This window comes from Homo sapiens, chromosome 2 (assembly GCF_000001405.40).
Source record: "Homo sapiens chromosome 2, GRCh38.p14 Primary Assembly".
In the NCBI taxonomy this organism is placed as follows: domain Eukaryota; kingdom Metazoa; phylum Chordata; class Mammalia; order Primates; family Hominidae; genus Homo; species Homo sapiens.
Genome location: NC_000002.12, coordinates 33601746 through 33628004, shown reverse-complemented (window position 1 = coordinate 33628004; position 26259 = coordinate 33601746). Strand labels below are relative to the sequence as shown.

Here is a 26259-nt window from a genome sequence, read left to right as displayed (position 1 = left end):
TTTACTTGAAAATGATACTTTCTCTAAATTTTATCTTTCTAGTTAAAAATAACAATAATGTAATCCAGTCTTCAGTAGATATTAGAATACACCAATCTAGGCTGGGCATGGTGGCTCCCGCCTATAATCCCAGCACCTTGGGAGGCTGAGGCGGGCAGATCATCTGAGGTCAGGAGTACAAGACCAACCTGGCCAACATGGTGAAACCCCATCTCTACTAAAAATACAAAAATTAGCTGGGCATGGTGGCACAGGCCTGTAGTCCCAGTTACTCAGGAGGCTGAGGCAGGAGAATCACTTGAACCCAGAAGGCAGGGGTTGCAGTGAGCCAAGATTGCACCACTGCACTCCAGCCTGGGCAACAGAGTGAGACTCCATCTCAAAAAAAGAAAAAAAAGAAAAAGGATAGACCTATCTGATGAGCCATCATGCAGCTACAAACATGCCGAGCAGGAAGGAAAATTGTTAAGATTTTGGCAAGTAAACACTAAAATCTAAAGATCAGAAATATGAAAAGCATGAAGCCAAGCTTTCTTCATGTGAGTTAATTGCATTTTCCCATCTTATACCAATGTACCAGATAGGCTACCATTGGTAAATTGACATTAAGAATTTATTCCTGCTATTGGCTGAGGCTTCAAAGTAAAGGGAATTCCAAGATCACAAAGCTCCTTTATCCATGATCTAATTGGAATGAGCATATATGTAGGGTTAAAATTACCTGTGGTTAGCTATCTAGGGAGATTGGGGGTATTTAGATTTTTTACATTGAATTTTAAAGTGAATTATATGTCAAAAGAAACAGGAGATAAACTATTTTCTGTATATTTTTTGAATTTGTTGTATTTTATAATGTTCAAATAATTTGGTCCTTTGTGAAGGGGACCAAAATATGACACTTCAAAATATGCCATTGTGTCATAAAAATTATTTTGAGATGAAGGTATTTTAGCTCTGGAAATCCTTTATCTGCCCAAAAGTAGAGCCTCCCAAAATAACTAATTGTCATAAATCCTCTCTCCAGAAGCAACTCTAATCTCAGAGACTAGGAGTGAGTTTGACACCACATCTAAACAGACATTGACACAAGATTCAGATCTCTTATCTATTCTCCATAGAGCTCATTTATGCTGCTAAAAAGTTATTTGTTTTCCCATAGTGCCTTTCTATTCCTCCCCTTTATCTATTAAAATGGTATATAAGCTCCAAATTCTAACCACCCCTTTGAGTTACTCAGCACTGAACACTCTCATGTGTACGTACTTTGCAAGAATAAACTCGGTTTTTTCTCTTGGTAATCTGTCTTTTGTCAATTTCATTCACAAGCCCCCAGTTACTAACCCTGAGTGAGTAAAGGAAAAGTTTTTTCCTTTTCTATAGTTCTCAGACAGAGGCCTAATTTGTTTTGGTACACACAGAGCTTTCTACTGAACAATATGAACACAAACAGATCTAAAAACCCATAACTTCTTTCGTATGTCCAGGCCTCAAATCCTTCCTTCTATTGGCCTTATTCTTGGTAACATATGGCCTTCAATAAGTGTTTAGAGTCTCTGATTTAAAAAATTTAAAAAATTCAAAATTATGATAGCTGCCTCTGGTGCCAAAGTTGAGGCACAATTTACCTAGGAATAGATTGTCTTGTTATGTGAGCTATCTCTTGAATGGCAGCTCCTTTAGTGATGCAGGTATAAGGCAGACATACAGCCATTGTCCCGGGAGAAGATGTAACAGAATCCTGTGGGTGTGATAAAGGAGCCTCCACCTAAGGCCCCTTTGAACGCACTACTCAAAAGGAGAAATTGACCACTTTGCTTAAGGATCCCAAGACCCAAAGGGGTGGGGGGAGGTGTGGATACTGAAGCCTCATTTGACCCAGGTGGACCTGGGTGGCTTAAACAGTAGTCCACTAGTTTAAAAAGATGTCATGAGCCTCAAAGTGGAACAACTGCAAGGAAACAGGGAGTTTCGGCTGGTACCATGGGCTCAACTAAAAGGCAAAGTGTGGAGGTTGACCCTTTGAGCATGTAAATGTAACCTTGGAGCCCAACTCCAGGTCATCAATAGCAGCTTTTGCCAGGATCTGTGCCAGGAAGGGTATCAGTGAAATAATGGACAAGAGTTCATCCGGCTGTCCAAGATATTCAGTAGCGTAACTGAGTGACAGCATCCAAAGCAACCATCAACTATTGGGCTGATTGGACTTCCCACCTTGCACTCTGCCTGATGTGTGGAAGCACTCAAGCTTCAGTCCAAAGACTCTTGGGCAACTGGGAAGAGCAGAAGAAAATCAAAGTGGGAGATATTTAAGTTCTTGCCAAGTAAGGTGTGTGGAGATGAAAATATGAAGTGATTTTTCCCCGAAGCTGGTGAAACAGGCCATATCAAATACACAAAGAAAATCATTTAAGTCATTAGAGCTAATAAAAGTATATCTCACAATTGTTTATTTAAATGAGATTGTTAATCATTTTTAAATGATGAAGTCTAGCAGTCATACAACTCCCCCCTCCATTCACACCAGAAGGGGAAAAGGTTAACTGATTTAAGAAAAACAACTCATAAATATATTTTTTCTTTTTAGGAATATAGAGATGTCAATTTCAACATTATTATCAGAACAAAAAAAACAAGTAAGAAAACTAATCAGAATTACATGTTTCTCTTTGAAGGTTATTTTCATGGGATACAGCACCATTTTCTAAAGTCTCTGCAATTTTACAAGTTCTCTTTGTTTAAATTTTGCTTTCAAGGGCAGATTAACATAAGCAAGAAACAAGTTAGAAACAGTTATAAATATTCACAGGAATCTCTTTTATTGCACAGAAAAGCAAGATTAGGAGTCTAATGAATGTTTCTAGTGCTTTATCAAATTACATTATTCAAATGCTTTCAATGATACAGAAAGCACTCTCACCCAAAAGCTGCAAAACAGAGAAGATCTCTCTTTCTCTTCATCCTGAGCCTCTTTCCTTAAATAGAAATATTTGTACTCACTAGAAATGTAAGCAAAAAGAAGGTTGTAGAGGTCAATTTTGTTGTTAAAAAGGGGGTGAGAAATGAATGAAATTTTACTTGGTAACAGTGAAAAAAAGGGAATATAGTGTAGGGGAGAAAAAAAAACTTTTACTCTACCTCCTTAGGTTTAGTAACTGAGATCTGTAAATTGAACTGACAAAATACAAGTTAACAGGAGAAAAGGTATACAGATTTTATTGATGTTAATATTTTTATATGCACAGGGTCTTCACAGAAAAGAAGTGAAAACCCAAAGAAGGAGTTAAGACTCAAGGTTTATATACCATTTTAGCCAAGGGCAATAATCATGGAGAAATGATGAGTCAAAGGAAAAGAGGTTTGGGCTTCCAGGGCCAATAAATGTGGAAAAGTGACTACGAAATATATGGGGGAGACTAGTGGAAGATAGGGGTTATTTTAGTAAGATTTGTTTATGCAGACTCATCTCAGTGCCAGCTGTCTCATCTTCAATGATAAGGCCTGCTCCCCTCAACCTGGCACAAGAGATGGGGGACATTTACGCCCTGCTTTTAGGCAGTAAAAGGGAGGGCAGAGAGTTCCTGCGTTTGCTGTATCTCAACTGCCTTCAGCCTGGGTGATAGAGTGAGACTCCATCTCAAACAAACAAACAAACAAAACAAAAACCAATAACTCGTTGAGCTTCAATTTCTTAACTGTAAAAAGGAGCCATGTTTTTCTTACTCATATACACAGTTTATAGAAAAGAATTGTAAGCTTTTTTTTTTAAACATATCTGGAAAATAACAAAAACTAACATTTACTGAGAGCTTACTATATGCCAGGCACTGTTCTAAATACATTGCATAAATTGCCTCATTCAATCCTCAAAACAACACTATGAAGTAGATTCTATTATGGCAGCAATTGTACAGATGAGGAGGCTGAGGCATGAAACAATCTTCTAAATTTCCTAAAATCACACAGATAATAGATGAGACAGCCAGGGAGTCTGTTGCTAGAACCCAGTCTTTTAACCACTCTTTTATACATAAAAAGAGAACAGTTAATACTACTCTGCTTTTAGGAACTTCACATGTAGAAATAAAGAAAAGTCATATTTTGCATACTGCTGTTAATTGTGGTTTAGAGCTTGGTACATACTTAGTAAAAGGTATAACGTTGAAATTCCTGATATTTAATTCCTTTATTCATTAAACATCTATTGAACACTAACATTGTGCCTGACCCTGTTCTAAGTATTTAGAATGGTGAACAGGCACTTGATATTATAAGCTATCAGGGAAGTAAAAATTAAAACCACAAAGAGATAAAATCATGACCACCTACCAGAATGGCAAACATGAAGAAGACAATCACGAGAGTTGACAAGGATGTAGAACAACTGGAATTTTCATTTACTCCTAGTAGGGGTGTAAAATGCTACAACTTCTTTAGGAAATTCAGTAGTCAAAAAAATTAAACAGGGCCAGGTATGGTGGCTCAAACCTGTAATCCCAGCACTTTGAGGCAGCAGGATCGCTTGAGTCCAAGAGTTTGAGATCAGCCTAAGCAACACAGGGAGACACCATCTCTACAAAAATTTTTTTAAAATGGCTGGGCATGGTAGTGTGCATCTATAGTCCCAGCTACTTGGGAAGCTGAGGTGGGAAGATTGCTTGTGCCCAGGAGGTCAAGCAGTGAGCTGTGATGGTGCTACTGACTGCACTTGAGCGTAGGTGACAGAGTGAAACCCTGTCTCAAAAAAAAAAAAAAAAAAAAAAAATTAAACATAGCCTATGACCTTATAGCCCTACTTATAGGTAATTATCTAAAAGAAATGAAGATATAAAAATAATAGATGTAGATCCACCCGCAAAGACTTATACAAAAATATTAATAGTATAGCATACATACTGAAAAGTGCACGTCATAAATGTAAAGATTGATGCATTTTCAGAGAATGACAATGTAAACAACACTAAGATCAAGAGAAAGAACAATACAACCATTCTCAGAAATCCCATATTTCTTCTCTTCTCAATTACTAGCCCCCCAATGGTTACCTATCTTGACTTCAATGATGATAAACTAGTTTTGCCTGTTTTTAATGATTATATAAATGGAATCATATACTATGTACTCTTCTGTATCTTGCTTTTGTTATTCAACTTTATGTTTGCGAAACTCATCAATATTGTTGTGTAAAGTTGTGGTTTGTTCATTCTCATTTATGTAGAGTATTATTCCAATGTGTAGGTGCATATTTGGCCGTTTTCCAGAATAACTGTTCACAGAGCAGAGGGAATACTCACGACTGTATGATACAGAGTCTGAGCTGACACAGGTATTAAGGGAACCAAAATGCCATCATGCCTACCACACTTTAGCATGGGAGCATATGGAGACCAAAGAATAAAGGAAGTTATAAATCAAATCCATCTCACTGTTAGTCACATAGACACACTCTCTGCTCTTTTCCCCAGCCCCTAAATGTATGATAGTCACCCCTAAGGATGGCTATACTCAGTAGCTGAAAAAATGCCTCCCATTGGCTCTCTGACCATTAAACAACAGCCTTTCTGGTGGGAAAGGCACAGAAGAAGACTCTGAAACTGCCACCTTGACCTTTGGCTTCACCCTCTGGGAGATTCTTCCTTTTCTGTCACCCTCCTTGGTCACACTTGAAGTGGAATTGGATAGAAGCTCCTCCTTGAGTACTGAGAAGCTTTCTCAGGCTACTTCCTGCCCATAGCAGGTTGATGACCCAGGGTCATTGTTAGGTCTCAGTTAGTCACGGGCTTCTGGTTGACCATGTGGTTCTTTTGCCAGATCACTCCTTTATTTTTTTAATTTTTTATGTATTTCGCTTTTTCTTTTTCTTTTTTTTTTTTTTTTGAGATGGAGTCGCTCTTGTTGCCCAGGCTGGAGTGCAATGGCACTATCTCGGCTCACTGCAACCTCTGCCTCCCAGGTTAAGCGATTCTCCTGCCTCAGCCTCCCAAGTAGCTGGAACCACAGGCGCACACCACCACGCCTGGCTAATTTTGTATTTTCAGTTGACACGGGGTTTCACCACGTTGGCCAGGCTGGGCTCAAACTCCTAACCTCAGGTGATCCGCCCACCTTGGCCTCCCAAAGTGCTGGGATTACAGGCATGAGCCACCACCCCTGGCCTATGTGTTTATTTTTATTAGAGACAGGGTCTTGTCCTATCACCCAGGCTGGAGTACAATGACACAATCTTGGCTCACTGCAGCCTCGACCTTCTGGGCTAAAGCAATCCTCCCACCTCAGCCTCCCAAGTAGCTAGAACTACAGGGGTACCCACCATGGACAGCTTGTTTTTTGGCGGAGGGGTGGCGGTCTTTCTATGTTGCCCAGGCTTGTCTCAAACTCCTGGCCTCAGGTAATTCTCCTTGAGGGATTGCTCAAAGTTGGATTACAAGTGTGAGCCACCATGCCCAGCTTATCACCTCCTTAAAACAAGCCCCTTATGTTCTGACTCCTGTCAGTTCTATGTCCCTAGATTTTATTTTTCTCCTTAGACAGGGTACTCAGAATGCCTACGTATTTGCTTTCTTTTTTTTTTTTGTGGCGGAGTCTCGCTTTGTCATGCAGGCTGGAGTGCAGTGGCGCCATCTGAGCTCACTGCAAGCCCTGCCTCCCAGGTTCGCGCCATTCTCCTGCCTCAGCCTCTCGAGTAGGTGGGACTACAGGCACCTGCCACCACGCCTGGCTAATTTTTTGTATTTTTAGTAGAGACGGGGTTTCACCATGTTAGCCAGGATGGTCTTGATCTCCTGACCTCGTGATCTGCCCGCCTCGGCCTCCCAAAGTGCTGGGATTACAGGCGTGAGCCACCGCACCTGGCCCTGTATTTGCTTTCTTACATTCAAAATGCTCTCTCACAAATTAATTGTGCATACCTGCTGTTTATAAGGCTGCACAGGGATTGCCTCACATTTAATCTCTTTTTTCTGAGTCACTAAAGGTATTTATTTACTGGGCTGGACAAATTTGGCTGGACGCTTACTCTGAAACATCTTATTTCATTCAGTTGTTTTAATATCAGCGGGTTTGACCCTTGACACAAAGCTTAGTTTTAATCAGCTTTTGTTATTCGGAAGCCTTCTTAGTATTAGCTTTCTCTAGTTGAAGTTGAAAAGCCATTGCTTCTTCCAAGAATAAGTCCCTGAATTTCATAATTTTCTGTCCTCCTTTTCATTCCTGATTCCAAACACAGTAATTATTTTCTGAGTTCATCTCTTTCTAATAATGTCTGGCAAATACATCCAATAGAAACCCACATGAGCTTCTAATATTCTATTTTTCCATCTTGTCGTCTAAAGCTAAACTTTATTAGATATACGATACTTCTCCCAAGTTTTTGCAGGAGATAGTTTTATCCACTGTTTCACCACTGCATATCATGGATTACCATCCTTCCAGCCTCTAAACCTTACCCATACCCTAATATTTTGGATCCTCTCCACTGCCAACCTTTATAAAATATCATTTTATGATATTAAGTCCCATCCTGATGGAGGTAACTCACAGATTTACAGACCTTGCCACTCAATTCCAGACTTTTATCCAATGGCTTTTTTTTTTTCTTTGAGACAGGGTCTTGCGCTGTCACCCAGGCTGGAGTGCCATGGCGTGATCTTGGCTCACTGCAACCTCCACCTCCCGGGTCCATTCTCCCATCTCAGCCTCTTGAGTAGCTGAGACTACAGGTGTGTGCCACCACACCCAGCTAATCTTTGCATTTTTTGTGGAGATAGGGTTTCTTCATGTTTCCCAAGCTGGTCTCAAACTCCTGGGCTCAAGCAATCCATCTGTCTTAGCCTCCCAAAGTGCTTGGATTACAGGCGTGAGCCACCGTACCTGGCCCCAGTTGGTTATTTGATAGCTCCATTTGAATTTCTCAAAGAAATGTTTCAAAATGCTTCCACATATCCAAAATTCATCTCATGATCTAGTTCCACAGATCTGTTCCATGGCTCTACGTAGCAACTAAAAGGCATCACCCTCCATTCAGTCATATAAAAGTCATCCTAGGGGGTCATTCTTCATACTCAATCTTGCTCAGTCATCATATCCAAGTGATGTCAGTGTCACCGTGATGTTGTACAAGCTTGTCAATGTCAAAAAGTGACCTAGAAGAATCTTCAGACTTTAAATGTATAAAAGGATTAAATGCAAACCTTAATTGTGATCCTGTAGTACATAGTATTTTTTAATGTGAAAAAGAAATGTACATGCATGTCATGCAGTATTTTTGTTTCCCCAAAATCTGTTATTTTATTGATAGAGTATCTTATGATCAATTGTACAACCAATTCAACGCAATAAGAGAAGTATTTTTACATACAGAAAACTCCCCTTATAAAAAACAATAAACAACAACAATAATGCACACACAAAAAGTGAGAATCAGAAACTATAGATTCGGGTGTTGAAAACAGCCCAATTGTCCCATAGAAATGACATTTAAGGCTTTTTCAATAAACATAGAAATTGACCCTCCTGGTGCTTAAAACTTGAAACTTACGTTTGTCACATCTGAGTTCCTTCCTCAGGAACTGAAACCCATCAGCTCTCCAGATCCAGACAATGAGGCACCAGATTCTTCACTCATCATGATTGCTTCCTAACCCTCTCTAATTCCTCTCCCTATGTAGCTACATCACTTCCTCCACTATATAAAGGCCCCCAATTTTAGTCAGTCAGAGAGACAGATTTGAGAATGATCTTCCATCTCCTTGGCTGCAGCAACCGATTAAAGCCTTCTTCCCTGTCAATACTTGTTGTCTCAGTGATTGGCTTTCTGTGTGGCAAGTAATGGGACCTAGATTGAACCCTTGGCATTTCAATAACAGTATCAGTTCATCACCTCTCATGGACTGAAGCAGGTCAGTTCACACAAACCAGAAACTCTCTTTCCTAAGTAACTATACTGCCCAAGACATATTAGCCTGATGAACAATTACAGATGGTGAATTACCCCAAACAAATTATCAGTCTTCAGACAGTCCTCATTAGTGAATCCTGGAGTCAATCTGTTCCCATCTATTAGCATGGCTCCTGACATCACTTCTGGAGTAACTGTGGTGCCCATCCTACCGACATTTTCATCCACAGTTTTCCCATTTCCAAGGCCACTACAATAACATGAGCCTTTTCTCCCTGATTATCACCTCCCCCTACCCCCTTCCAGGCCTTTGGGTCATCAAAGGCTTCCTTGTAGTCTAAATGTCTGTCATACACCTATAGTGGTAACTTTTTTTTTCCCTATAGTTCTTTATCCTCAATTTTCCTTCTTTATGAATCAGGCCCGGTTTTCCTTTGAACTAGGCTGAAAGTCCACTTAAATGTCATTGCCTTAGAATATGCTCAGAATCCTTCCTCTGTAAAAATAGGTCACTTAAAATCTAAGCTGTTGGAACTTTAAAATATCTGAGCCTTAAGGGAATGTGATTATGGTACCTGAGTCAACATAAGCAGGCAGCTGTCACCTAGGCCAATGTGATTTTTATTTCTCTGTTATAGATTAACTTTTTTCCTTACCTACGTTGTTTTGTAAAAGACAGTAGTTAACTGAAGGGCACCAGAGAAGACCCTTATTGATCTTCATTACAGATTATCTTTTCTTCTTCTTTTCTTACACAAAGACTTCATGACTATCACATTGTCTAAGATGGAGGGTTAAACACACTCTTTTAAATTAGAAAGGAAAAGAAAAACAAACAGTACAGAAAAGAAAACAAACTGTAACTAATTAAATTGTTGTGGTGAGGGTAGGTGTTGACCCCAAGGGGAGGAGAGTAGAACTGCTTTGCAACTGTCCAAGCATACTCAGGCAGGCCTGGCTGGGGTTTCAAGGCTTGCATGACAAAGGTGTTAGTGTTGTTATCTATACTAACACCTTTCAGTACAGCATTTAAGTGGACAGTGTCCTATAAAGTAAATAATGAGTTCTAGGATAAAAAGCGCAATTCCCAGTTTTAAAAGTAAAGATTTGAAAACATTAATTTAGGGACCTGTAGCCCACAAAAATATTAGGATTTAATCTAAATTGCAGAAAAAAAGAAAAACTTAAGAACATCTAACAACAGGTATCCTATAGTTTTTCAAACATGATTTTTCTCTCTCCAGTTTTTCATTTTTACTAAAGACAAATAATGGTAACACCAATTTGCTTTATTATACTTGGCCTGATTATTTGTATAAGTGCACCAAGAATAATTATTTTTCATATGGGCTTTTTAAACTGGCTTTGATGGAACTCTGTTCCATAAGGAATTTCAGATAAGACTGTTTTAAGCTGAGCCCAGCCATGTGTTTGTACACTTAAATACCTACAAGTTGGGTAAATTCTTCTGAAAGTCCCAAGATAATCTGGGGCTCCTGGGCCTGTTAGAAAGTGACATTCTTTACTTACCACAAGTCAGGACGAAACCACCTTTGCAAAATTACGACTGAGACAGTGAAAGAGATCTAACTTAACCAACTGCATCTTGCTTCTAACTCCAAGCTATCCTTGTTTATTCCTGCACTTAGGCTGAACTAACTTTGGGAAAAACTTATAGTTTATAGTTTAAACAAAGATGGTAATAGCCCTTTCTCAAAGCAAACCTCCTTCTTGCCTGGGGACTACATTGCCTTTGTAGGACTAACATTAGCCACAAGATTAGAAATTATGGTTTAGGAGTCATGCAGCTGGAGGCTACAAGATTCTGACCCTCCCTAAACAGCTCCTAAGATCAGTGCTTGAGACATTTTTCAGACCCTGCACTTGATGGATCAGTTGGCACCACCCAGATCAACAAACCGGCTGATCTGATCTTGTGGCTCCAACCCAGGAACTGACTCAGCACAAGAAGACAGCTTTGATTCCCTGTGATTTCACTTCTGACCAATAACCACTCTTGGCTCACTGGCTTCCCCCAACCCACCAAGTTATCCTTAAATGCTCAGGGAGACTGATTTGAGTAATAATAAAACTCCAGTCTCCTGCACAGCTGGCTCTGCATGCATTACTCTTTCTCTATTGAAATTCCCCTGTCTTGATGAATCGACTCTGTCTAGGCAGTGGGCAAGGTGAATCCCTTGGGTGGTTACAAGGATTCCTGTACAGGGACTGTGTAGACAAGGTATGAGGCCAGTTTTCCCAGGGAATGTTTATTGGCTCTATAAGTCAAGTTTGATTCCTTAAAGGAAAGCATGCCATTCCAGTAAAAGCCTTGGTGAAACAACCAGTCTCTTCAAAAGAAAACATTCTTAATGCACTTATGCAAATAACTATATTGCCATAAGTTAAGAATACTCACAAATAGTTTCCAAATTCTGGAGAAATCAGATAGAGAGAAACAAATATGCTCCAAATTTTATTCACAGGAGTATGTTTTACTCAATTGTCAAAAGCAGTAAATAGCTCAAAAGAAAAGTGTTCTTGGCTCTGGAAAACAAAAAGGATCAGCAATGTTTTAAGCAAAAAGTCAAAAAAAAGATTACTTCAGTTTTTTATTAGTTTAGTCCATTCAATTAACTCGTGTTGTGTTTGATATTCATGATCACTTCAGCTATCCATGACAGTCCTGAAAGTTTCTTATTTTATTCTAATGTCATAACCTCCAAAGTTATCAGAAACTTGCATTTGAGAGCACCTGCAAAAGTTTTATACCTGATTATAAAACCGTCTTCTGAAGAGAACCAAAATGAGACAACAATTGTCTGTGGATGACAAAAACATTTTAGGGCAGCCACAAAGGCACAATTGACGAGGAAATGTATTACCTCTGTGGCACAAAAGAATTTAACATAACAATTATAATTATTACTGATAACATATACGGAGGCATACCAGAATTATAGGAATCTTATACAATTCTGAAACAGATACTAATAACATATATGTATGAACATAACCCAAAATTAAACACCATTTTATATTTGACAATTTACTGCATGATTTTAATACATTAAATAAGATGAATATGTCTTTTTGGACTTAGGGGACCTAATTATTACGTTAATAACTTAGAATTTGATCTTGGAAGGTTTGTCAAATATCAAAGGTTTAAAACACTGGATATCACAAAATAGAATCCAAGATCACCATAAGTCATTTATTTAGCCAAAACGATAACTCAAAAGTTTTAAAAGAGACAACCCTTTACTCTGCTAGATGGGAGACTCAGTTTTCCAAACAAGACCCAATAAGATAGCATAAAGCTAACTGAATCTGTCTCTTCTCTCTCCAATTCCCACATTTTTTGTAATTTACTTAAAAGGCAAACAAAAATCTTTCAGCATTTCATAGTATTACATAAAAATCTTTTTTTTTTAAAAAAAGAAGAAACCAACTTTTATGTTTACCTTAGTGCATCTTAAATGCAAAAGCTAGTTTTAAAAACATATTTTATAATCTATCCAGTTTTAATTAGTTTGACCATAAGGTAAGATTTTTGTAAACTTTTTTAAGAATGCTTTACAATTTTTTTTATAAACCAGCAAATTAATTTTCTAATAAAACCCTGTTATTTGGACATATGAGCCCAGATTCTGACCCCGCATCAGTGTGCTTTTATTCTAATGTTTAACCTATGGAAAAAAAATTAGTCATCATTGTATCTTAGCCAACTAGCTTATATCCACAGAACTTTTTTTACAACAGCAGTCCTCTATGACCCCTCTTTAACTCTCTTAAGCCTTAAGTTTTGTCCCATTACTCTTTTAGGGTAAGAAATCTATAAAACCCTCTGACAAAATTACATTTCCTTTAACAGAAACTACATTCTCATGCCATCTTATAATTTTTTTTTTACCAAAAATACATTTTACTTTTCTTATACATCCTGTATGTAAAACTGGTTTTCTTAGTAGTCTTAATTACATGTTACAATGTTGACTCTTAGCAAATTTTATTTTTGGTGAAATACTTGATAAGTAAGCAATTTTACTCCACATGTCCCCAGGCCTTATCTAGAATTTAATGCTTCAAAGTAGATAAATTGAACAATTTTCAAAAGTCAAAGAAGCAGTTTATGACCTTAAAGCATTTAGCGAATTTGGTATTTGACCTTAATTTAGACCAAATGTCCAAATTTTGAAGACATTTTTATTTTACCAATCATCTTTAAAGCTGTCTTTATTTCCAAATGATTATTAAAGTCACGTGAACAAAAAGGCATTGTTCTAAAGTTTCTATTTTTCTGAAAAAAATATTATTTAAGCGCTTATTTTTCTAAGCCAATTAATCAGATTTCTTCTATATAAACATCACACACACAACACATATAAATACACAGACAGACAGACAGAAGATCCAGCAGTTGTAAGATCTTCCTTTTGCCAGTTTCTTAATTGGATTACTGACTTCAGGGTGGAGCCCTTGGAGGAACAGAACCAGGAAAGCTTGCAGTTTCTAGGACCTAATAAGCAGGCACAGCAGGAAGGCAAAAACAAATCCCCAAAATTAAGGGTGCCATTTTATACTGGATCATGGATCCCCAAAAAGGAGGGGAATACTATGGGAGAAGATAGTGGTGTGCTTCTACCATGCATTTTATTGCAAGGCAACTCAAAGACAGTCAGCCCATTTTGTAATCACCCCATCCCCCAAGGAAGTCTTATCTCTCAGTTGGGGGGATTGGGATGTTTCCATATCTTCCAGGTGGCCAAGAGCATGCTTCTCTAATCCAAGTGTGCAAAGAGCAAAGTATTTCTCCATAACTGCCTCAGCCATCCCTTAAAGTATATTTTCTACCTAGTTATTATACACCAAGGCTAAAATGCAAAGTAATTTGATACCCCCACATGTCAAAATCATCAGCTAATGCAATGCAAAGTAATGTTTGATACCCCCAAAAGTCAAAACCATCAGCTAACACAGTGCAAAAGAGAACAGAGCCTTAGATTTTGAGAGGGATTTATTTTCTTTCAATTCCTGGGGTTCCATGGGAAAACAGAAGTTTTTCCCAGAATGGGGTCCATGGTACCTCCTGTTTTTCCCCAGGCAGCCCAGGCTGTTAGTAATTATCTTATGTTTTCTCATGTGGGCATCAACAGTGGCAAGAAGACAAAATGAAGAAAAACAGGTTAGTTGACTGATAAGAAAAACATTTTTCCCTTTTCTTTAGAAGAAAAACATGATTCAAGAAAAGGAAAAAAAGTCTTTTAAATATATATAGCTTGAATATCCATTTTTAATTAAGCCAATTTTAACCACAGAGTTCTTTTGTTAAAAAATTCTTTTTTAAATCTCTTATTACCAGACTCTAGCCAGGACAGCCAATATTTCCGGCCTTTGAATTCTACCCCAGGTAACCTCCCACATGAAATAGTAAGTCTTAACTAAGGTTATAACTTAACCATTAACGCATAAGGTGTTTTAAAGAGATGGTAAGCAGTTTCTTTTTTTTCTCTTTTTCTTTTTTTTTTAACAAGATTTAGAATCTTCCCAAGGTTAGTTCAGAGAAAGGAAAATTCAAGACAGGAAATCAGAAGCTATCCATGGGGAGAGGGAGGGAACCTCCATACATGGCAAAGTTACACAAATAACAAACCAGAAAGGAATCATTCGGAAGCCAAGAATTGAACCTGGGCCACCGCTGTCAAAAGATAAAGCCTTAGCTACTAAACTACACAGCACTGAGCATTGTTTCTCCCAGAAGAAGTCTGCAGCAGCCAATTTCAAGCTTGCAAAGACTTTTAACTGCTCAAGGTAATTTTTAAGGCTGTGACATGAACCCCAAAATTCCTGTCCTCTGGATGGTGGAGACCAAGATAAAGTATCCCCACATGGTCACAATGTTAACTTCTTAAGGACACAAAACAAGACAAATTTCATCTGGTATTGGTTTCAGGGACTCGCAGCAAAGTCTGTAACGGACCAGCCTGCCAGGCTGGCTTGAAAAGTTGGCTTACAGGGGTCCTAAGCCCACGTTCTATCCTGTGATACCCTCCTCTCCATTACAGAAAGACAAATTCTTGGCACAAAGTGCACCAGATTTGCTATAGCCTATGACTAGTCTCACAAATCCTTTTTTTACTATTAATAAAACCCTTGCAGAGGAGACACAGTGATGTTTATCATTTACCATCACCCGACATGCAGAGAAAGAAAGAGAAAGAGAGGCAGGCCAGAAACTTGACTGATAAGAATTTCTTACCCTTTTTGCTGGTATACCAGGTTTCTGGGTCCCCTTTCTCTGCAGCTTCCAGAAGAATGGAGAGGCTTTTGATGGCCCTGTTCACTGTGCCATAGCTGTCGGCGACCAAGCCCCATTACAAAAGAAAATAATCCTTTTCTGTTTTATGAAACCATCAGCAAAAGCTTCTCAATTATGCAAGATGCTGCCTGATGAGCTGCATAGGGAACCAAATTAACATTTTCCATCCCAGCAGAAGCAAAATACACATAACACAATGGACACTGGTCACCTCGCTCAGCACCCAACATCAACCTGGCAATGCTGAAACTTTTTCCCATTGGTCCCTGTTGTCTTTGATCCACTCAAGGTGGGGAGGGGTGACCTCCAATCCAGAATTCAATGGGTTGTCTCTGGGCAAGATGAAGAGCAGTTACCCTCAATCAGGCCTGTTAAACTTCTTTCCGGACTCACTGAATGTGACCAGATAGATAAGGAGGGTTCTCTGAGTTAGGCCTGCTAGACTTCCATCAGCAATTCCTTCAGAAATATTCTCCACATATACAAACACATACACAAAGACAAGATGGACAGAAGGCCTTCCGAATCAAGATCCCTAACCAAGAATTCCAGAGTATACCTTCCCAACTATCCTCCTATTCTCCATGTGAGAAATCTCCCCGAAATCTTCCTGATTGAGGAGAAGTCTCCTCAACCAATACCCTTCCTATTATTTAGGGAGAGCCAACCAAGGCCTTTCAGGAGCCAAACCAGGACAGACACCCCATGGTGGAGCAACAGACACCCTGTGCAATGAGGCTACAGACAGACACTCCACCATGGGGCGAGAGAACCAGTCAGGAGAAGGAAGGAGGCATTGGCAGTGCCTAGGATACTCACCAACCCAGACACCCTGCAATGGGCCTACAGACAGACACCCTGTGATGGGGATACAGTTATGGGACGTCTCCCCAGGACTACTTCTCTATTGCAATTAGATCCTTGCATGTTGGGTTGGCAGCACCCCACCAGTAGAAACAGGACCAGAGTTAGCCTCCAGTCCAAGAGAACTAGGTGGCTGCTTGGGCTGGCCTCTGAATCCATCACTGGAGGGGGGCTGCTGAACCATGGGCAGACCCACGAGGGCAATTCCAGACGAGCCCCCAAATTTGTAACTGCCCAGTGGGTTCACCTTGCCTGCTGTCTAGACACTGGCAGTTTATCAAGACAGGGGAATTGCAATAGAGAAAGAGTAATTCACGCAGAGCTGACTGTGCAGGACACAGGAGTTTTATTATTACTTAAATCAGTCTCCCCAAAAACTCTGGGATCAGGGTTTAAAAGGATAATTTGGTGGGTAGAGGGCCAATGAATTGGGAGTGCTGATTGGTTGGTTCGGGGATGAAGTCACAGGGAGTCAAAGCTGTTCACTTATGCTGAGTTGAGAGACAGGACTAGCTGGATTTCCTAGGCTAAGATATCCTAAGCCTAGCTGAGGAAGGTGACTGCACCTACCTTTAAAACACAGGGCTTGTAACTCAGCTCACACCTGACCAATAAGGTAGTAAACAGGGCTCACTAAAATACAAATTAGGCTAAAAGCAGGAGGTAAAGAAATAGTCAAATCATGTATCGCCTGAGAGCACAGGGGGAGGGACAATGATTGGGATATAAACCCAGGCATTGGAGCAGGGAGGGGCAACCCCTTTTAGGTCCCCTCCCATTGTATGGGAGCACTGTTTTCACTCTATTAAATCTTGCAACTGCACACTCTTCTGGTCCATGTTTGTTAGAGCTCAAGCTGAGCTTTCACTCACTATCTACCACTGCTGTTTGCTGCTGTCGCAGACCCACCATTGACTTCCACCCCTCCGGATCCAGCAGGGTGTCCCCTGAACTCCTGATCCAGTGAGGCGCCCATTGCTGCTCCCAATTGGGCTAAAGGTTCGCCATTGTACCTGTGCAGCTAAGTGCCCGGGTTCATCCTAATCGAGCTGAACACTAGTCGCTGGGTTCCACGGTTCTCTTCTGTGACCCACAGCTTCTAATAGAGCCATAACACTCACCGCATGGGCCAAGGTTCCATTCCTTGGAATCTGTGAAGCCAAGAATCCCAGGTCAGAGAACGAAAGGCCTGCCCCAACTTGGGAGCAGCTGCCACCATCTTGGGAGTGGCCCCCCACCATCTTGGGAGCTTGAAGAACAAAGACCATCCCGTAACAGAGTCAGTTCCTGGGTGGGGGCCACAGAACTGGTTGGCAGGTCCAGGTGGGACCATCTGGTTGTTAGAAATGCAAAACCTTGAAAAGACATCTCAAAAGGTGATATTAGGTTCACAATAGTGATGTTACCTCTAATAGTAATTGAGGAAGTTGTGAATCTTATGGCCTCTGGAATAATGGCTGGTAATATTTAGAATTCCAGCCCCTCTCATTCTACCTTGGTGGCTGGTGGCCTTTCATTCATTTTACAAGAACAGTTTAGCTTTTGGGAAGGGCTATTGCCAAGACCAGCTTGGTCGGGGAGACCTTAACCCAGAGGCGCTAGAGGAATTAAAGACACACACGCAGAAATACAGAGGTGTGAAGTGGGAAGTCAGGGGTCTCACAGCCTTCAGAGCTGAGAGCCCCGAACAGAGATTTACTCACGTATTTATTAACAGCAAGCCAGTCATTAGCATTGTTTCCATAGATATTCGATTAACTAAAAGTATCCCTTATGGGAAATGAAGGGATGGGCCAAAATAAAGGGATGGGTTTGGCTAGTTATCTGCAGCAGGAGCATGTCCTTAACGCACAGATCGCTCACTCTATTGTTTGTGGTTTAAGAACGCCTTTAAGCGGTTTTCTGCCCCAGGCGGGCCAGGTGTTCCTTGCCCTCATTCCGGTAAACCCACGACCTTCCAGCATGGGCATTATGGCCATCATGAACATATCACAGTACTGCAGATATTTTGTTTATGGCCAGATTTTGGGGAGCCTGTTCCCAACAGGCTATTACTTAAACTATACACTAAATTCCTTCCCAAGGCTAGTTTGGCCTACATCCAGGAATGGACAAGGACAGTTTAAAGGTTACAAGCAAGATGGAGTTGGTTAGGTCTGATGTCTCTCACTTTCATAATTTCCTTAGTTATAATTTTGCAAAGGCAGTTTCAAAACTGTTTCAGGGGTGTGTGTGTGTGTGTGTTCCTAAGTGTACTGAGACATGATGTAAAATGAGTTTCTTATTGATTGGCATGAGCTTTTCAAACAATGTAAGAATTGGTCTAGACCAGTGGTTCCTAAATTATGGTCCCTGGCCCAGCAGCATTAGAAATACCTGGGACCCGGTGATCATTAGAATTGCAAATTTGGAGGCTTTATCCTGGACCTACTGAACAGGGACAGGGCCTGGAAATCTATGTTTTAAAAAACGTCCAAGAAACTCTGATGCACACCAGTGTTAGAAAACCACTGGAATCTAGGTAATTTAGCCTTTCTCAATCACAGGAGAGACTGGAGCTTTAGAGAAAATTATTTCAGTGACTCTTGTCATTTTTTCCAAGTAGAAAGCTGGCATTTTAGAAGATACTGGGAAATAAGTTAGTTATTACATACAATGGATGCCTTAGGGCAGGAGGGCTTAATTCTCTCTTAGGAGTGGTTGAGAAGGGAAAAATCTAGAATGATCCCCCAAGGTTTTCTTCAGAGTAAATTTGCATGATGTCAACAAAAATAGTCAAACTCTGTAAAATATTTGAAGAGATTTATTCTGAGCCAAATAGGGGTGACCATGGCCTATGATACTGAGAACATGAGATCCTGAGAACATGTGCCCAAGGTGGTTGGGGTGCAGCTTGATGTTATACATTTTAGGGAGACATGAGACTTCAATCAAATACATTTAAGACACACATTGGTTTGGTCCACAAAGGTGGGACAACTTGAAGGGGGAATAGGGGGTGGTAGGGGTGCTTCCAGGTTATAGGTAGATTTAAAATTTTTCTGGTTGACAATTGGTTGAGTTTATCTAAAAACCTGGGATCAATATAGAAAGGAAATATCAGAGTTAAGGTAATGGACTGTGGAGACCAAAGTTCTTATTAGGCAGATGAAGCCTTCAGGTAGCAGGCTTCAGAAAGAATAGATTGTAAATGCTTCTTATTAGACTTAAGGTCTGTGTTGATGTTAATGCTGGAGGGTATAATGAGGCATGTCCAACCCCCACTTCCCATCATGGCCTGAACCAGTCTCTCAGGTTAAATTTTAAGAGCACCCTGGCCGAGGAGGAAGCTCATTCAGATGGCTGGGAGGTCTTAGAATTTTATTTTTGGTTTATAGAGACTTAACCCAAGTTTTCCAAAACATAAAGTAATCTAACCAAGGATTTGAAAAAAAATCATTTTGGCTTAAAATGTATTTTCTTATCTCTATTGTGATTACAAACAATGATCCTATTGTTATAATGAAGAATGTAAATATATAACTGTTACTAAGAGTTGGAAATTATGATTTGCTGAGGACATTCAAAATCAGCCTCTAGTTCATTTATCTAATCATAATGGTCATATTTGCAAACTCTCTCTAGGACAGTGATTCACAGCCGCTATTCTGATTTAACCCTGTTTTGTTCCCAGTACACTCCTAATCAGTAGCATCTCTCATCACAATGCTGTGATTCTCATGGGGACTAGGGGGGCTGTAGAGCATGAAAAGTCTCATTGAGGATTCTAATGCACCCCCTCCCCCACATAGACACCAAAAAGAATCTCTGCACTAGGATAAAATACAAAGTTGCTAAGAACAATCTAAGTCAGCAGAGAATATATCATCCTCCCAGAATAGCCAAGTTTTAAATAGGCATTGACTGAGTTCCAGGATGATCCAAGAGCTCAGAGCATAATTCATTATTGTATACTTATTTATTCGCTGCAAAGAACCACTATTCTTTAAGAGAGCAAAATCTAGTTATGAAAAAAGGAAAATTTTCTTGTCAATCAACTAATCAATTTTTTTTATGGCTGCTGGATAGGCATCAATGTATTAGGCACTATGTAGGACATGGGTGGGTTGAAACTGCCTTTGCAAAAATTGTATCAGTGAGAAAATTATGGCAGTGGGGGAGATCTGATCTAGCCAACTCCCCTCCTGCCTTTAGCCTTCAAGCAATCGAGCTGCCTTTAATTATTACTAGACTAGCTTTGGGAGACATTTAGTTTATGGTTTAAATGATAATAGCCCTTCCCCAAAACTCAAGTGCCTTTGTAAAGCTAATGAGAGGCCACCAGGCTAGCAGGAGGGGAGGAGCCTGAATTCTGCTAAGGTGTAGACATAAATGATTGCCAGTCTTTATTCTGGAGGTAACAAGATATACAACTTCCCCAATTACTCCTGCAAATAACATATCTATTGTAGAATCTAAGAGTGGCCTTCGGAGATATCTTTTCAGGGTTTTTACATGTCTGACATCTACGCCTCTGGCTCCAACCTGGACCCGCCCACTGCTCCTGTGGCCCCACCCAGAAGGGTTTCAGCATGCAGAAGGATCATTTCCAACAACCCTATGATTGCATCCACCATCCAATCAGCAGCCACCCCCACCACTTCCCCCAGACTATCTTTGAAAAGCCCTAGTCCCTGAAATCCCAGCTCTCATGAATTCAACTCCATTGCAATGTCCCTGCCTTGATAAGTCAGCTCTATCTGGGCAGCAGGCAAGGAGAACCCATTAGGTGGTTACAGTTTTACAACCACTGGAGAGAAAAGATCACAACACATGAAATAAGCAACATAAAAATAAAACACTAATAAATGATAAATTATGAAAGACTACTTATGAAGCTATCTGAAGTGGTACTAAGAAATACAGATTCCAGCCAGGCACGGTGGCTCACGCCTGTAATCCCCAACACTTTGGGAGGCTAGGGCGGGCCGATCACTTGGGCCCAGAAGTTCAAGACCAGCCTGGACACAAGGTGAGACCCCCATCTCTACCAAAAAAAAAAAAAAATTAACTGGGCATGGTGGCGTGTACCTGTGGTCCCAGCTACTCGGGAGGCCTGAGGTGGAGGGATCACTTGAGCCTGGGAGGCAGAGGTTGCAGTGAGCTGAGATTGCCCCACTGTACTCCAGCCTGGGCAACAGAGCCAGACCCCGTCTCAGAAAAAAAAAAAAAAAAGAAAGAGAGAGAGAAAGAAAAAAAAGAAAAGAAATATAGAAACCCCACCCCATAACTGCTGTGCTATGTCAGAATGCCATAATATCAGAAATGCTGACATAGACTCATCAGAGGCAGGGCCCAGGAATCTGCATTTAAGTCTGCCAGGTTGTTATGCTACTCAATCAAGTTAAGCACCGCTACCTCAGAAATGCAGAAGAGAGGAAAATTAATTTTAACCAGTACTATCAGAGAACAACTTTTTTGTGGAGCAGTGAAGCTGAGATGGGGCCTGAGTGAAACCACCTTTGCAGAATTATAAATAATGAGCGAAATCTAACAGGGCTAACTCCATCTTGCTTCTAACCTCACAGGCTAAATTGCTTTTTTATTTATTCTAGCACAGAGGCCAAGATAACTATGAGAGGAATTTAGTTTATAGTTAAACTTGGAGGCAAGGGAAACTAACTCCCCCCTGCCTCTGCCTTATCCTACCATGCCCACACACACTATCCAGAGATTGAAGCCACATTCTTAAGACACGGGTAAAATTATGGTAGGAGCTTGAACTTTGCTAAAGAATAGGCATAGTTAGGCCGGGTGCGGTGGCTCATGCCTGTAATCCCAGCACTTCGGGAGGCCGAGGCGGGTGGATCACGAGGTCAGGAGATTGAGACCATCCTGGCTAACACAATGAAACTCCGTCTCTACTAAAAATACAAAAAATTAGCCGGGCGTGGTGGCGGGCGCCTGTAGTCCCAGCTACTCAGGAGGCTGAGGCAGGAGAATGGCGTGAACCCGGGAGGCGGAGCTTGCAGTGAGCCGAGACTGCGCCACTGCACTCCAGCCTGGGCGACAGAGCGAGACTCCATCTAAAAAAAAAAAGAAAAAAGAAAAAAGAAAAATTGGCATAAACAATTACCTGCCATTGCTTAATGTGTTTTCCTACAAGTTGCTAACTGACCCAGAGTCACGTAACTGGGGCCACAACATTTATAACTTCCTCTACTACTCCTATAACCTTACTATTATGAACCCTAAAGAACTGGGTCACTGAGATATTTTTTAGATTCAGCACTTCAGTACCACCTGGTCCTGAGAACAGACTAAGCTGCATGAAGACAGTTACAGACACTGTTGTGATTTCACCCCAGCCAGTCAATTGTTTCAGGTCCCCAGCCCCCTGTCAGTCAAAGTACCCTTTAAAATCTTAGCCTCTGAATTATCAGGGAGACAGATTTGAGAAATTTCTCCCTGTTATTGCTTGGCCAGACCTACGATTACTAAACTCTTTCTTTGCTGCAATACCGGTTCTCACTGGTTCTTTTAGGGCAGCGGGCAAGAAGAACTAGTCGGCCTGTGACATGAGGACAGGGTAAGATGTGAACTAAGTAGCTGACAGAGCAGAGGGTTTACACGTGTGCTCACCTGAAGCTGCCTGTGCCAAAATGCTAAGGAAGGCTTGGGAGGAGAGAATGAGTGCCCAAGGCAGTTAGAGAAGGCTTCTCCCAAACTGAGTCTCAAAGACTGAGCAGGAGGAATCTGCCAGGCAGACGAATGAGGGAAACAGGATTCCAGGCAAAGTCTGTACAAAAGTATAGAGGCATGAAAGGGCAAGTTATGTTAAGTGACCAGGAGGAGTTCCATGAGACTGGAATAGGCAGAGAAAGGAGGAGAGGCCCATGGGAGACAGGGTAGAAAAAGTGATAGACCTGCTTAACAAGTAAAAGACTAAACAAGGTTGGAAATCCCAAACCATAATGCAGGGCAAATAAATGCCTGGATGTTCACACATATGACATAATGTGTGACTTACAGGGTCCAGAAAACAGAGGGAACTGGTAGATCCATACCCCATGTTGAAGGGGCAACCTGCTCAACCCAAGCCAATCATTGCCTTTATGGGCAATGAGGTTCCTCCAATGCTGCCAAATCAGCAGACGTTTTCGCCCCAGAAAAGCCAGACACTCAGATTTTTAAAATAAAATCTCCAAACTTTTAAATGTAAGCTCAGTTCTTTAACTTATTAAACAGGCCAAACAAAATACAACGCTTGGTCTGGTGTGAAGGCTAGTTTATTACCTCTAGGCTACAGTCTAATAAGCTCTTACTGCATCCAAATTAGATGGGTTTCTATCTGGTTCACTGTGTGCCTGATTGCAGAACATGGCAACTAGGCTGAAGCTTTGTTGGGAGAACAACAGAAATCAAATTTGGAGCTTTTATTCTGGAAAGATCTGGATATATCTCTGTGTGTGTTTTTGTATATATATACACATTTGTGTGTGTGAATGTGTGTGTGTGAATATATATATATATATATATATACACACGTACATTCACACACATAGCACTTCCTTTGTTTAGTTTAAACACAGGCAAGATGTTGTTCTCAAACTTTGTAATATTCTCTAAAAATTGCCAGGGCTCAGAAACTATACTAACATAGCCAGAGGAATGATTTGAAAAAACAGCATTCTTTAGTAATATAAAGTATTTGAGACCATACAAGATTTAATTCTACATGCTAACTTAAAAAAAAAAAGAGTTGTGCTTTCACTGTGCAAGCTGAAAAGGACTTTATTTAGCAACATATACAAACTTGCATTTCTGAGCAACACCAGTAAATCTATGGTCTTTCTATTTTCTCCTTGCTGGAGGGTCATTCTAAAGATAAATTCACTAAAAATGGAAAATGCTGCTATTTTTCAGACAGTGTTCTTTTATTTTTGATAGAAAAGTTATTTGTTTTAGATGCCTATTTAATCACCTCTTAGAAACCAATCCATGACAAATCTTATATTTGAGCTTATACCTACCTCTTTTCCATGATAAAAAATTACTTCTATAGATGCTAGAAGTAACTTTCTTAAAGATGTCAGCTGCATAAATTTTTAATTACTATATAATTAAAAACCTTCTAATAATTTTTAAGGTTATGACTTATAAAACATGTTCCTCTGGAAACTGAAATCAGTTTTCAATTTTCCCATTTACATTTCTTTCACAAGTGAAAAAAATAATTTGTCTTTATTCTCTTCAAGAAGAGCTAGAAAAGGCTGATCTTTAAGATCATTCATTGTTTCTACTCTCCAGGAAAGGCAGTGTGGTATGGACCCCCCTCCCCCGAAAACTATCTGCATCATAATCGTTGGAACATGAGACTATGGAAAAAGGGACTTTGCAGGTGTGGTTAAATTGAAGATCTTAAGGTTGGGAGATTATTCTGGATTATCTGGCACAAGGATGGGGGTCCTTATAAGTAAAAGAGGGAGGCAGGAAGGTAAGAGGGCATGACTACCATGTAGCAGGGGTCGGAGTGGTGTTGCTGGTCTTGATGAAGGAGGGGAGTCATAAGCCAAGGAAGGTGGGTGGCCTCTAGAAACCAAAACAGGGAAGAAAACAGATTCTCTCCTAGAGATTCCAGAAGAAATGCAAACCTGCCCATTTTTGCCAGGTGAGATCCATTTCAGGTGTCTGACCTCCAGAGCTGTAAGATAATAAATCTGTCTTGTTTTAAGCCTCTAAATTTGTGGTAATCTGTAGCAGCAGCAGTTAAGAATATGGACAGTAACCAGACTCCCTCAAAGATGGGACACTAGAATAGCTTTATTTTATATTTTATTTTATCTATAGAAAACAGAAAAATGATTTATTCCAAAAGATGGCAGAAATGAGAAATTCATGCTGAAAATATACCTTGGGCCGGATGTGGTGGCTCATGACGGGGTGCAGTGGCCAAGGTGGGCGGATTGCTTGAGCCCAAGATTTTGAGACCAGCCTGGGCAACATGGCAAAACCGTCTCTACCAAAAAATAAAAAAACTTAGCCAGGCATGGTGGCCAGCGGCTGCAGTCCCAGCTACTTGGGAGGCTGAGGCAGGAGGATCACTTGAGCCCAGGAGGTTGAGGCTACGAGATCACCACTGCACTTCAGCGGGAGCGACAGAGCAAAACTCTGTTTAAAAAGGAAGAAAGAAAAAAAAAAGAACACATAATTTGGTGTAATTCTGTTGGGAGAGCTCTTTCCTCTGAACGTCCTCTCCTACTGACTGCCCCACTGGAGTCTTGTCAGGCAGTAGTACGTTCTAAATAGTTCACTGATTCCCATGTTATGAGAAGGCAGGAGCCACTACAAATCCACAAATTCCAAGGACATAATAACACATTTCTCAGAAGAAAAGCATCTTCTCTCTCAAAAGAGTGCATTATCATTTTGAGGAGTTGGCACAGTTTAGGTTAAGTAGGCACATAATTCATTAAAGCATAAAAAAGTTGAAGAAAAAAATGCTGCATTGTGTTAGACATTCAAATGTGGTGTGAATGTTTAAGGCAGCTGATGCCCAAAATAAGCAAGTCAAGAAAAGTGGTGTGGTTTGGATTTTGCATCTAGAAGGAATTCTTTTCTCATGACTGCTAAGACTGAGCACTGTAAAGCCTGTCTTCCTCAAGGCCAATGACACTTCGGATACCAGATGATTTCATGTTTCAACTGCAGTCTGAAGAGAGGGTTGAGTTGGCCAGGATTGCAATCAGCCAAAAGAGACAGCAACAAACTGAACAGGTCACCTACATGGTAATGATAACTCCCTACTTAGGACCCTTAGGGATGAACCAAGGCATGAAGAAACCAGTGAAGCCCTAAAACACGCTCATTGCAATGAGACGTATGGTGAGGCCCTGATATGCCATGCTTACCGCTGGTCTGCCAGCCCCTGCCCCTCTGCCTCACTTGGGTCCCACCTGGAAGTCATTTTTAATTAATTTTTTTTTTTTTAACAGAGACAGAGTCTTGCTATGTTGCTCAAGCTGGCCTTGAACCCCTGGCTTCAAGTAATCGTCCTGCCTCAGCCTCCCAAAGTGCTGGGATTGCAGGTCTGAACTACCGCGCCAGACCCTAGAAGGGTTTTAAGTTGGTATTTTATATTCTTTTTTGAGAAAGAATCTAGAATCAAAGTCATCAGTAAAAGGGCATGTGCTGGCACTTG

General features: G+C 40.6%; 1 long non-coding RNA gene and 1 pseudogene across 2 annotated transcripts in view, besides 1 other annotated feature; both read right to left on the bottom strand.

Annotated features, from left to right (window-relative positions):
* LOC105374455 (uncharacterized) overlaps positions 1–26259 on the bottom strand; it is a 56893-nt gene that overhangs the window by 28233 nt on the left and 2401 nt on the right. The gene's annotated exons all lie outside the window — the stretch shown is intronic.
* Positions 19671–20557: an enhancer, noted in NCBI's record as "OCT4-NANOG hESC enhancer chr2:33832515-33833401 (GRCh37/hg19 assembly coordinates)". NCBI's record gives its function as "activates a minimal SCP1, AML or CMV promoter by ChIP-STARR-seq in naive H9 embryonic stem cells {active_cell/tissue: H9 hESC(naive)}" and the evidence as "EXISTENCE:reporter gene assay evidence [ECO:0000049][PMID:30033119]".
* Positions 25220–26022, bottom strand: ATP6V0E1P3 (ATPase H+ transporting V0 subunit e1 pseudogene 3; annotated as a pseudogene).